The 13,717-nt window shown below is 38.0% G+C and overlaps 1 protein-coding gene across 1 annotated transcript; it reads right to left on the bottom strand.

Moving 5' to 3' along the window:
* Window positions 1-770: 770 nt before the first annotated feature.
* On the bottom strand, window positions 771-12,431 carry OR10A2 (olfactory receptor family 10 subfamily A member 2). Its single transcript, NM_001004460.2, has 2 exons — window positions 12,137-12,431; window positions 771-5,865 (listed from the first exon to the last, which is right to left on the bottom strand). The coding sequence occupies exon 2, from the start codon at window positions 5,731-5,733 to the stop codon at window positions 4,822-4,824; it is 912 nt and encodes a 303-aa protein (NP_001004460.1). The 5' UTR covers window positions 5,734-5,865; window positions 12,137-12,431; the 3' UTR covers window positions 771-4,821.
* Between the last annotated feature and the right edge of the window lie 1,286 nt (window positions 12,432-13,717).

Below are 13,717 nucleotides of genomic sequence, written 5' to 3'. Positions count from 1 at the left end.
CTGTTTTAGATACTGAAGATAATACATTAGTAAATAAAACAAGCAAAAATCTCTGCCCTCATAAAACTCATCATAGGGAAGACAGGTTATAAACAAATTCTGTTAAGCCAGGCACGGAGGCTCACGCCTGTAATCACAGCTCTTTGGGAGGTGGAGGCTGGCTGATCACCTGAGATCGGGAGTTCAAGACCAGCCTGACCAACATAGAGAAACCCTGTCTCTACTAAAAATACAAAATTAGCTCGGCGTGGTGGTGCATGCCTGTAATCCCAGCTACTCAGGAGGCTGAGGCAGGAGAATCGCTGGAACACGGGAGGCGGAAGTTGCGGTGAGCCGAGATCACACCATTGCACTCCAGCATGGGCAACAAGAGCAAAATTCCACTCAAAAATTAATTAATTAATTAATTATGTTAGTAGAAAGTATGGTATATAAGAGCAATGGAGAAGAATAAAGTAGTAGAGAAGGAGACAAACATTTAGAGGTGGAAAGTGTCAGGGAAAGCTCCACTGAGAATATGATATTTGAGTAAAGTTCTGAGCAGGTGCAAGAAGTGAATTTAGGTTGGTGAAGGAAAGAGGGCGGTAAAGAGAAAAAAATGAGAAAATGCTATTTTAATTTTTTTGCTGATTCATATTCATTTAAAACAATTCAACCAAGGAATCACTTCTTTTATGAAAACATCCTTGATACCTCATCTACTTTCATAGTAAGAATGAGCATTTATGAAGCAGCAAATAAGCACCACACACCGTTCTAAGTGTTTTGCATGTATTATCTTATTTGATTCTCACAACACCTGAAGATACAGATAGTATTATACCCATTTTACAGTCAAGGAATCTGAGACACAGATAAGTTGAGTAGTTTTTTCAGCAAGTGTTGGAATCCTGGGTGGCTGAGTCCAAGTCAGGGATTTGGCCGACAAGTGACACTTGCACTCATTTTTTCAGAATGGGAATAAATCTGAGCCCACAGGTGAGGACAAGCCAGTATCCAGTACAGGGTGGTAGTAAGAACAAAGCAACACAATTTCTAAAGATGGGCAGAAAATTTCAATATATTAGTAACATTGGAGAACTGGAATACCACTTTCATAGTTCTTATTTTAGAATAATCATTATTGTATGTATTTGTCTCATACAGTAGATGACATGCTCCTTGAAATAGAAATTGTGTTATTCATTTTTTTACCCCAATGCCTAGAAAGGTAGATGCCCAGTAAATTGTTATTGAATAATTTAATAGATAATGAAGAAAATGTGGTAAATAATCAGGGAAACATCTACACAGACACAAAGTAGGTACAGTGAGCCCCATTCATAAGGAATTTAGACAAAGGCACAAAAGAATATAATATAGCATCATACAATTCACACGGACTGAAACAATGATAAGAGATATAAATGTGCTTGTCTGCTTCCTCCACCTCAAACCTCCTCTTTGTAGATACCCCATTTCAGTAAATGGCACCACCCCAAAGTACAAGCCAGGAACTGGGATATAATCCTTTAATTTGTGCCCCAAATTTGATTATTTTTACTCCTAAACACTAATTCAGTGTCACCTTCTCCAGCTCTACCACCACTGCCTTTAGGTTCTGGATTTATTTTCTCTGGCCTAGAGTATGGTAGGAACCTGCTTCTGGTTCATTCTCTTCAAACCATCCTTGGTTTGTATGTGATCTGTCTTATCAGCAACTGTCTTACCAGTTGCTGTCTTAACCAGCAACTCTGGTTAAGTCACTTACCTGCTTAATGTCTTTCAATTACTCCGTATGGCCCCTGGGATAAAGTAAATCCTTTAACAAGGTCTTTTCCTGTGATCTCTGCTTATTTTTCCAGTTTCAAATCCCCAGTGTAGCTGATTTTTCAGTGACACAAAAATGCTTTGTGTTCCTTACACACATCATAGTCTCTCAGCACTCCTGTGTTTGTGCATGTGGCACTCTTCTGTTGGAATCCTTTCCCTGAAACTATGTACAACTTTTTCTTTAGGTTTTGGGTTATTCTTGTTTGCTTTACTTCAAATTCTTTACCCATACTAAGGACTACCCCCTACCCCAGTACAAATTGTCTCAGCATCAAGCATCATTGTTCTAATCCAAGCATTGTTGGTATTTTCATTCTACTGTTGTTGTATATTTTAAATATCTACTGTGGCAACCTCCAGCCTCAATGAGCTGCCTGCCTGGGCAGTCTACATTGTCTCTCTGGGAACCAAATGTTGTTTCTACTAATGCCTTGTCTTTAAAGTTGCATGTATTTTGAGTCTAGCCCTAACCCTAGCCCTACTTCCCCATAATATTTTTAATGTAAAGGTTTGCATTACATAAGCTTTTCAGGAATGCCTACGTCATATTAAAAGGGAAATACTTGGCCTGGCATGGTGGCCCACGTCTGTAATCCCAGCCCTTGGGAGGCTGAGGCAGGCAGATCACTTGAGGCCAGGAGCTCCAACATGGTAAAACTGCATCTCTACTAAAAAATACAAAAAAAAAATTAGTTGGGCATGGCTTGGCACGCCTGTAATCCCAGCTACTCAAGAGGCTGAGGCATGAGAATTGATTGAACCCAGAAGGCAGAAGTTGCAGTGAGCCAAGATTGTGCCATTGCACCCCAGCAGCCTGAGTAATAGAGCAGACCTTTGTCTCAAAAAAAAAAAAAAAAAGAAAGAAAGAAAAGAAAAGAGAAACACTTGTGTTGCATGCAATGGCTCACACTTATAATCCCAGCACTTTGAGAGGTTCAGGCAGAAGGATTGCTTGAACTCAGAAGTTCGATACCAGACTGGGTAGCATAGCAAGACCTCGTCTCTACTAAAAAAAAATTTTTAAATGGCCAGGCATGGTGATGTACGCCTATAGTCCCAGCCACTAGGGAGACTGAGGCAGGAAGATGGCCTGAGCCCAGGTGTTTGAGGCTACAGTGAGCCATAATTCTGCTACCGCAGTCCAGCCTGGGTGACAGAGAGAGAGACCCTGTCTCAAACACAAAACAAAACACCAGAAACACTTGAACAATTCTTATTTTTGAAGAGTTACAGAAAAGTTGGAGGAAGACAAACATGTAAAAATAAGTACATGTACAGTTTCTACATGTAGTATATACAAAATTTAATGTATTTATTAATAAACTTGAAATGGGTGCATACAGAAAGAGTGATTTCTGCTTCTTGAGGAATCACAGTGGGGTCTTGAGAGATGGGATAGATTTGGCTAAAATAAAAGTGAAAAACAACCTTTCAAGAAGAGAAAATAAAACACCAAGACATCACCAATTGCTAATCGTCTAATCTATAACTCAAGTTTCAATGAAATGCACACCTTTCCTCTGATTTGATCATCTGTTTCTTTCTTATTCTTCAAAATTTATTTCATTCAAATTAAAATTTCATTGAGTTTTTATAAAATATTAAATAATCGAAATTCTAAATATTTCATGAGAAATGTTATTGTTGAGTTGTGGGGAAACAAACACCTCATAAATTGCTGGTGGGAGCATAAAATGGTGCAATAAGTTCAGAGGGGAGCTAGATAGACAATCAATATATATAGCAACATTATGTATGTATTTAACTTTTGCCCAAGAAACTCAATTTCTAGATTTCTATTTGTCAGGTACACTAGCAAAAATATAAAAACAGATATATGGATAAGTCCATTATTTACAGCATGATTTGTAGTAGTAAAAGACTGGCTAAATAAATTAGGGCACATCTACAAATAGAGTACTACCAGATTATAAGAAGGAGAAATCTTGTGGTTAAAGAAGACTTATTCTGGAGCTTTGTTCTCATCAAAGCAAAGCTATGACTGAAATTTACGATATTACTTCAACAAAACATAAGAACCTGAATATGGAATAGAGATCTTAGGGAAGCTCAGGTTGTTTTTCTTGGGAAGAATCTAGTGTGAAGGAAATAATTATTGGGGTTATAAAGGCATATGCATGTGAACTTTTGATCTACTCTCATACATGCATACTGCATACCAGTAAGCTTAAAAGAACTAACACTGCTTAAGGGCATGAGAATGAAGTAAGATGGTGAGGAGAGTTATGTGTTGGGAAAGATCATGAGATTTTCTGTCATGAATGTAGAGTCAGATCTGCCCAGAAGAGGAAAAGTGACAAGATGATTTTTATTGGGTTTTACCCTCTGTTACTATGTGTGCCCCCATGTTATAATGACTAGCAGTTTCATATTGTGCACAATGCACGTCACACAGAAATATAAACACCGGCCAGGCGCGGTGGCTCACGCCTGTAATCCCAGCACTTTGGGAGGCCGAGGCGGGTGGATCACGAGGTCAGGAGATCGAGACCATCCTGGCTAACACGGTGAAACCCTGTCTCTACTAAAAAAATACAAAAAATTAGCCGGGCATGGTGGCGGGCACCTGTAGTCCCAGCTACTTGGGAGGCTGAGGCAGGAGAACAGCGTGAACCCAGGAGGCGGAGCTTGCAGTGAGCAGAGATGCGCCACTGCACTCCAGCCTGGGGGACAGAGCGAGACTCCGTCTCAAAAAAAAAAAAAAAAAGAAATATAACACCTGGAAATAGTTGGCCACAGAAGTGCTGTCATACCAGTTGAAACAAGGAAAACAATGTAAGTCTACAATGGGCAGGCAGAGGAGTTTTCATAGTTGGTGGTGCTAGGTCGAAACTACTTCTCTGCTCCTTTCTCTCCACTCAGCTTTCCAAAAGCCATTTCAGCAACAGGACTTCATCTTATTGGAGATGTGGAAAGATGCAGAGAGGAATCTCAAATCTGGGACTGATTGTTTCTCATCCAGTAAAATGTAGCCTTACTTCCTAAGGTCTATGGGATACAGTTTCTGAGGGCTAGGGCCTTAGAGACCGTCCTGCTGAGGGCATTCTTCACCTCGTTATTTCTCAGGCTGTAGATAATGGGGTTCAACATGGGAGTCATAACAGTGTAGGACAATGATAGCAGCTTCTTGCCCTCAGGTGAATTATTTGATTTAGGCCGGAAGTAGGTGAGGCTTAATGATATATAGAAAAGAGAGACAACAAGGAGGTGTGAGGAACATGTAGAAAAGGCTTTATTCTTCCCTTTAGCTGATGGGATCTTGAGGATGGCAGCAGCAATGTGAGTATAGGAACACAAGATCAGCAAGCAGGGGATCATGACCACCAGAATGGTTCCGACGATGGCGTAGATCTCAAAGAGTGCTGTGTCTGCACAGACCAGCCTCAGCACAGGTGGGCTGTCACAGAAGAAGTGGTTCACCTTGTTGGTGCCACAGAATGGAAAACTGAAGAGCCATGTGGTCTGCACAGTAGCTACAGGAAAGCCTGGGAACCAGGAGGCAGCAGCCAGTTTGGCACGAGTCCTTTGGTTCATGATGACTGGGTAGTGCAAGGGACTGCAGATGGCCACATAGCGGTCATATGCCATGGTAGCCAGGAGGAAGCATTCAGCCACTCCAAAGAAGAAGAAGAAATACATCTGAGTGGCACAGCCAAGGAAGGAGATGGTTGTGTCCTGGGCAAGCAGGGTCCCCAGCATTTTGGGCACAATGACTAGGTTGAAGCCAATCTCCAGGAAAGATAAGTTTCTGAGGAAGAAGTACATGGGGCTGTGTAGCATGGGGTCAGCTAGGGTAACCAGAATGATGAGGCAGTTTCCCATCAGGGTGACCAGGTAGATGGTTAGAAATGTCAGAAAGAGTAATGACTGTATTTCAGTAGGCAGGGAAGAGAAGCTCATGAGGATAAACTCACTTATTCTTGTCCAGTTTCCTGTAGCTATAAGTGTGGGCAGAAGTCCCCAACTGTGGTCATGGAGAAAGATTATTGATTGGAAGTCAGATTCTCAATTTGTTTTTCAGACTCGTTCTTACTGTCAGGGAAAGAGGCAAGGTCAGCACCTCAGGCAGAGGAAGTGCCTTGGGTTGTCTAAGAATAAAACACAATAAATAGTAGCCAGAGCCTAATCTCTGAGATGGGCCTGAATCAGCTTCTAGAGGAGCTGATATTTCTGTTCACACCTTAAGTTATTCAGAAAGGGCATGCAAAGTCAGAATCACAAGTTTCTGAAGGGTCCATCAAAGGATACATTTTGGGAGAAAGTGATGTTTCTGAAAACACTTAAACTTATGAAACACACCAAGTGTTTATAATCTCGTAAAAGAACACATACATTTAAATTTATCAAAACTTTAGAAATATATTTATAACTATCATGAAGAATGCATATAATATGTTTTCTACTCTTCATGAACCTTTCTTGACTGGCTAGAATTTGAGAGGAGGGTGAAAGGTTAGCATGTATTGAGGACCATTTACATATGCATGTTTTTGTTCTTTTATATCTCTGGTTTATACATGAGGAAACTGATCCCAGATAATTTAAGAAACACAAATCACATGGAAGATCTTGAATCCAAACCACATCTATTGGATTACAAAACCCTTCAGATTTTTACTAAATCATGCTTTGTTGGACTGTCATGCCTTATCTGATGACTAACTTATTAATTTGTAGGAGAATTAGAATTGGCATTTCTGCAAAATCACAGTGAAGACAGACAAAGATAAGCACGAGAACCAACATCATTAGCATTAAGATGTTTAGGAGATTTCCTAGACACAACTGAATCCCAATTTTGTATTACTGGTTTCTAATTTGCAGTTGGTTATCTAGAGGCTCTTCTTATTGTATTCGTAATCTAGAATATTGAAGTCTAGTGGAGAAATGGTGATATTAAGCTGGAAAATGAAATTGAGAGGCTGGGATAAATAAAAAAAGAAATGAATGTGGTTAGCAAACTCTGGTTAAAAAAAATTAATAATAAAAATTAAAAACTTTATTAGGAACAGTAAAAACCAGAACTGACACAAAGTAAAAGATAAACAAAGATATGGTCAGTGTTTTGGATATATTACATTAATAGACTTATATTACATGCTGAGAATTTTGGACTTTATTTTATAGATGAGGAGATTCACCTGAATATTTGAAGCTGCAGAGTGACATTGTCATAATGCTACTTAGAAGGATCACTCTGACATTGTTGATAGAATGGGATAGAGAAGGGATCAAAAGCTGTAGGCCTCGGATCAAGAAGACTAGGTGGTATATCTATAATTACCCTCCGTCTTTACGCACAATCCATTTTCAAGCAGCAGACAACTTATTTAAAAGAGGCTAAATATTAGTCAGGTCTTGGTGAATAATTTGAACTTCAAGGTTATGTTTAAAATTCCAGAGAATCTATGAAGGAAAAAACACCATTCTTATAAAAGAATTATAATCAAACTGATCTAAGATTTCTCAGAAATGCTAAACATTAAATGAAGCAATGTCTACAGTTTTTAGCTCGGTTTCAGAAAAACAAATGTAAGTTTAAAAAATAATAAAAGAACCAATGATGAAAAGACAGATCATCTCAACTAGAAACTCTTTCACTGTAGGCCAGGCGTGGTGGCTGATGCCTGTAATCCCAGGACTTTGGGAGCCTGAGGCAGGTGGATCACTTGAGCCTAGGAGTTTGAGACCAGCCTCAGCAAGGTGGCGAAACCCCATCTCTACAAAAAATGGAGAAAATATCCAGTTGTGGTGGCATATGCCTGTTGTCCTAGCTACTCAGGAGGCTGAGGTGGGAGGATCACCAGAGCTCGGGAGGTTGAGGCTACATTGAGCTGTGATTGTGCCACTGCACTCCAGCCTGGGTGACAGAGTGAGACTCAGTCTCAACAAAAAAGAAAAAAAAAGTAAAGTAAAAAATAGAAACTCTCTTACTGTCATTCCAAGGCAAGCCAGCCCATAAGTAAACAGAAAAGGTTATGGGAGATATGAAGACAAAACACTTTAGGTTAATGAGATGAAATTCAAGATATCAAATCAATTGTTTCCCTTTTCAAAAACAAGAGTCTGAAAGGAAGTTGAAAGACATTAAATTGTCTTTATTACTTACTCTCAACAAAGCCCTATAAAATATTGAATATCGAGGCCAGGCACGGTGGCTCATGCCTGTAATCCCAGCACTTTGGGAGGCCAAGGCAGGAGGATCACTTGAGGCCAGGAGTTTGAAAACAGCCTGGCCAACATGCTGAAACACCCTCTCTACTAAAAATACAAAAATTAGCTGGCCGTGGTGGCACATGGCTGTAATCTCAGCTACTTGGGAGGCTGAGGCACGAGAATTGCATGAACTGGGGAGGCAGAGGTTGCAGTGAGCCAAGACTGCACCGCTGCATTCTAGCCTGGGTGACAGAAGGAGACTCTGTCTTAATAATAATAATAATAATATAGAATATTGAATAAGTACTCATGAAAATGACAGTGTGGGGCCAGAAAAGACCACCTGGGGGACAAAACAAAGCCATGATTATTGAAGTTAAACCTTGTGGAGCAAAATGCCAGAAACTTAAGAAAACTGAGTCAATTAGAATACAAATTTGAAAAATTACACCCAAGTTACTGGGAAAAATTATGAAAACATAACAATTATAAGAGGAATAATGAAGTAAAATACAAGAAATAAAATCACTATAACAGGTATTCCAGAATGACAGAAAGAATGGAGAGGGGTAGAAATAATATCCAAAGAAGTACCAGAGGAAGAATAAATGTCTCTGATCTAATGGAAGAGATGACTTTTTGAACCAAAAGAATCCCTAAGTATGAAAGAAAATTTTAATATATTCACACAAACATGTTTTTATTTTACTGAAAGATTTTTTTTTAATTCTGAAAATAGAGAAAAGTTCTGATAAGTAACCAAACTGGAAAATGATTAAAACAAAATAAAACAAAACAAAAATACCCCCTATAAACCACAACCAAACAAAAAAATAAAGTATTCACCATTAGGGAAATGCATATATGCTTATAAAGACCCCAATGATATATCACTACACACATATAAGAATGGGTTAAAAAAAAAGTGACAACACCAAATGCTGGTGAGGATTTGATGAATTGGATCATTCATACATTGCTCATGAAAATGTAAATAGTATCAGAGATGTTCAATCTTTTGGCTTCCCTGGGCCACATGGGAAGAAGAATTGGCTGATAAGCTAAAATTAAAAAAAAAGAAATCTCATAAAGGTTTAAGAAAGTTTACAAATTTGTGTTGGGCCACATGCAAAGCCGTCCTGGTCTGCATGCAGCCCGCAGGGTTGGACAAGCTTGGTATAGCCACTGCAGAAAACAGTTTGACAGTTCTTTAAAAAAACTAAGCATGTAACTGTGGTACAACCAGTAATTGTACCTTTGGGTATTTATCCCTGAGAAATGAAGACTATGTTCATATAAAAACATGAATATTCCTCAGTGCTGTATTCATAATAGCCTCAAATTGTTAAAAACCCAGATGATGAAACAAATTATGATGCATTTATACCTTAGTAAACTCAGCAATAGAGAGGATGAACTATTGATACATGCAATAACATGAATGAATTTACAGATAATTCTGAGTGAATAAAACAGACACATATTTTATTATTCCACTTACATAACATTTCTGTAATGACAAAATTATAGGAATGGAAAAGAGATTAGTGATTGCCAGTGACTAACGAGAGGGTGGGGACAAGAGGGAAGCAGGTCTGGATATAAAAGACCAAGGTGGGAGATTTTCCTAGCAATGGAATCCTCTGCTATGGAGGGTCATTTGGATGTTTGCAAATACTTTCATCATTACATGATTTTGTTGACAGAAATGATTATGTCTCCTGTAAAACTCCATATTTACTCACATAAAAAACTGATAAAAAGAATTGCTAATGATTTTTTTAAATCTGCTAAATATAGAGTTGCAATAAGCTTTGAACACATTTTTTAAAATAATAAAAGACAATTATCTTCTTAATTTATTTAAAAATTGTCTCTGAAAAATAGAAATTTCCCAGTCATATTTCAATGAAATCTTTGTATATTTGTGGGTCAGAATTATTGAATCAGTGTGAATATTTAGTAAGCATAGCCAATTGTTTGTTCAGTGCTGACTATTATAGTTATAAATTGAAAATTATAATTAACAGAATGAATGGCTCAATTATGAAGCATGTATTTAAGGAAATACCCTGTAATCTTTAAAGTCATTTTTGAAGAACATTTAATGCTGTCATATAATAATCACCATATAATATTAAATGAAAAATAACACAGCCTGCACACTTGTGATACATTTACAATTTTAAAAATATATGCTATATAAAAAGACTGAAAGGCTATATGCAAAATGTAAAAGTGACCTATTTCAAGTGGTAAAAGGAGGGGATTTATTATTTTTATTTTTCTGGATTTCCAAATTTTCTAAATATATAAATATATATCTAGATAAGTATATATAAATATATATTTATATATAAGAAATTTTGTAATTATATGAAAATATATAAATATATATTTTTATTCATATATATTATCATATATAGAAATATATATTCATTTTAAGATGAACATAAATGTTCATTTATATATAAATATATATTTAATATATATTTATATATACATATATGTTCATCTTACAATATATATATTTATATATGAGAATACATATTTATGAGTATAAATATATATTTATATATATAAGAAATTTTGTAATTATATGGAAAATAAATGGCAGAGCCTGAACTTAAAACAGAAAAATTTATAATTAAAAAATTGGGGTTTTCAACAAGCCATATGAAATGAACTTAAGCTACACCCGAAATGTCATCTTTGGTCTCCCACATCCATCTCTCCTTCTTCTGCTTCACTGCTGAGCTTCTTACTATTTACTGAACAGAGTTCTTTTTGCTTGCCTCTGCCTTTTCATGTGACATCATTTCTGCCTGCACATCCCCTCCTCTGTCTGGCTGACTCCTTCAAATCCTCAAAACTCAGCTCTGTCTGTCATGTGATACTTCCAGATAGGATTAGTCATCTTCTCTATTTTCCTCTATCCTTTAAAAATGTTTTTAATTATTCAGATATTTCTACTACCAATATATATGTCACTCTTTAAACTTCTCCATAGTATAAACTGTCTTAGTCATCTTTATAAGAAGAAGCCCAGTGTTTTTACCAAGTAAGCTATTCATACATGTTTTTGGACAGCTGATTGTATAAAGGATTACATGAGTTCTACAAAGTTCATTCTTCTTGGAGTTTTTATTCACTATTAGAATTTTTTTTTCTCAATGACTGTTCTTTTTTTTTTGTTAGAACCGCACTTTAACTAGAAGCCTCATGACAGATGTGTTGTATGTGGTGCTGGCGGAGAAGACTGGGGAGAAGGAGGGGCAGAAACACTTGCTGGGATTTCCACAGAACTTCTGAAAACTACTGGGGAAGAAAAGCTAGTGCCCCGTCTCCAGTGTGGGAGAGGCATTGCAGAAGGTGGCAGCTCATGGCCAGCCCACAGCGTTCTTGCCAGTTCCTCTAGAACAGGGGTGTCCAATCTTTTGGCTTCCCTGGCCACATTGGAAGTAGAAAAATTTCTTGGTCACGCGTAAAATGCACTAACACTAATGATAGCTTATAAGCAAAAAAGAAAGGAAAAAAATCTTATAATGTTTTAACAAAGTTTATGAATTTATGTTGGGCCACATTCAAAGCCATCTTGGGCCGCATGTGGCCCATGGGCCACAGGTTGGACAAACTTGCTCTAGAACTTCCCTAGGAACATCCCTTTGCTAATCACCTGACTGTCCCAGGACCTGGAACCCACTCTTCTAGGCCTTCTCTGACTGTAGAATTGTTGTAAAGTAGTAGTTTGCCCTGATGTTCTCCATCTCATAAATGTTCCACTGAGGCAAGTCTTTTTTGTGTTACTTAGACGAAAATCAAGACCTGAAGGGGGTATATGTCCTGTGAAGGTTGTAGGGCCTGGAAGCTTCCTGACTCAGAAAACTTTAGAGGACAGAATTGGAAAAAGCCTGGGTAATATCAGTCTTTTTGTGAGCCCAGATCTCACTTTTCTTATGACATAGAGTAAACTGATGCCCAAGGAGAGAGGAACTGATGAGATCTCCCAGTGTGAACATAAGAATAGAATTAGGTATCCAAACTCTGATCATATTTTGTGCAGCTGAGTAACTGAACTTGGAGAGTGGCCTCTGGTAGATTCAGTCCTTGGTGGAAAAAAAAAAAAAAAAAAAAAAAAAAGGCTTACCTGTGTCCAACAGGAACATCTGCCTTGTTCAACTCTGGCTGACATCCATGCTTCATGCATGTCCTTCATGCATGTAATATAACAGCTCTATTTCTGTTTCAGCAAAGCCAAAAGAAGAACCAGGGAAGTCTTATTCCCTGTCCTGGCTGAGCTATTAATGGCTGGAGCTGTAGCCAGCTCACTGCTGCCTTGTGTGTCAGAGGCAAGTAAGCTCACTATGAAGTTTGGCCATGCTCCCAGTCCTGGTTTTGGGAGAGTTGTTCCCACCTGTGCCTCTTTTGTTCTTGGGGCTAGTCGAAGGGATGAGACCTGTATTTTTTCCCAGCTGTTTATAGGCTTTTCCTTCCTTTCCTCAGGGGACCTGGTCTTGTTTGAATCTACCATCCTTTGAGAATATAATGAATTTCAGATGCCAACAGGATAAAATTCAAGAAAGAAAAACCAAACTCCAGGCTAGGGGAAGCAGCATTGTGTAGAGAAGCACTATAAGAATTTGAAGTCAGAGCAACCTAAATTTAATCTCAGCACTGGAACTCTGGCTCATAATGCTTAGCAATTTTGTTAAACTCGCTGAGCTTTGATTTCCACATTTCTTAAAGACAACAAATGTTCTTATTTTACAGAGTTAGTGTTATGATGAAATTAAATGGCTTATATTAGTTAAACCTATTGCACGCTGAATAATTGTTCATTAAGTATCTACTAAATGTCAAATACTCTCCTAAGCATTAGGTTATGGAAGTAAAACAAAAACAGGTTTGGTTCCTGTATTCATAAAGCTTACCTTTTAATGGGGAAATGTGAACTACAATTAGATAAATTATAAGATAACAACTAAGAACATATGACTAATATAGCTGTTATTGAATCCAGAAGGAAGAAATAGGAAACTGCACGGAAAGTGGGACGCAGACATGTAGACTTTGGCGTAAGAATTTTTGCTGTTGTTATTTGGTCCTATTCTGGTCATTGTTAAGGAAAATGTAGGAGACATCATCCCCAGTCTCTTGGGTGTTCAGATGAATTGAGGCTACCTAATTTTGAAATAGCTAGTGAACAATACAAGATAGAGATAAAATGATATTAAATTGATCCATGCTTTTAAAAGCTAGTCATTTTGGAGAAAGGAAAAATTATCTCTCTTTTTTTTTTTTTTTGAGACGGAGTCTCACTTTGTCACCAGGCTGGAGTGCAGTGGCATGATCTCCACTTACTGCAACCTCCAACTCCCTGGTTCAAGCGATTCCCCTGCCTCAGCCTCTCAAGTAGCTGGGATTACAGGCACACACCACCACACCCAGCTTATTTTTGTATTTTTAGTAGAGATGGGGTTTCACCATGTTGGCCAGGATGGTCTCGATCTCCTGACCTTGTGATCCGCCTGCCTCAGCTTCCTAAAGTGCTGAGATTACAAGCGTGAGCCACCGCGCCCGGCCGATATTATTTTTTAAATGTAGCACCATTGTTTAAAAAACTTTTAAATTCAAGGGTATATGTCATGGGAGGTTTCCGTACAGATTATTTTGTCACCCAAGTACTAAGCTTAGTATTCATTAGTTATTTTTTCCTGATTCTCTCCCT

Source organism: Homo sapiens, chromosome 11 (genome assembly GCF_000001405.40).
Source record: "Homo sapiens chromosome 11, GRCh38.p14 Primary Assembly".
Lineage (NCBI taxonomy): Eukaryota > Metazoa > Chordata > Mammalia > Primates > Hominidae > Homo > Homo sapiens.
The sequence above is the reverse complement of the archived record's forward strand: the minus strand, read 5'-3'. Positions and strand labels throughout refer to the sequence as shown.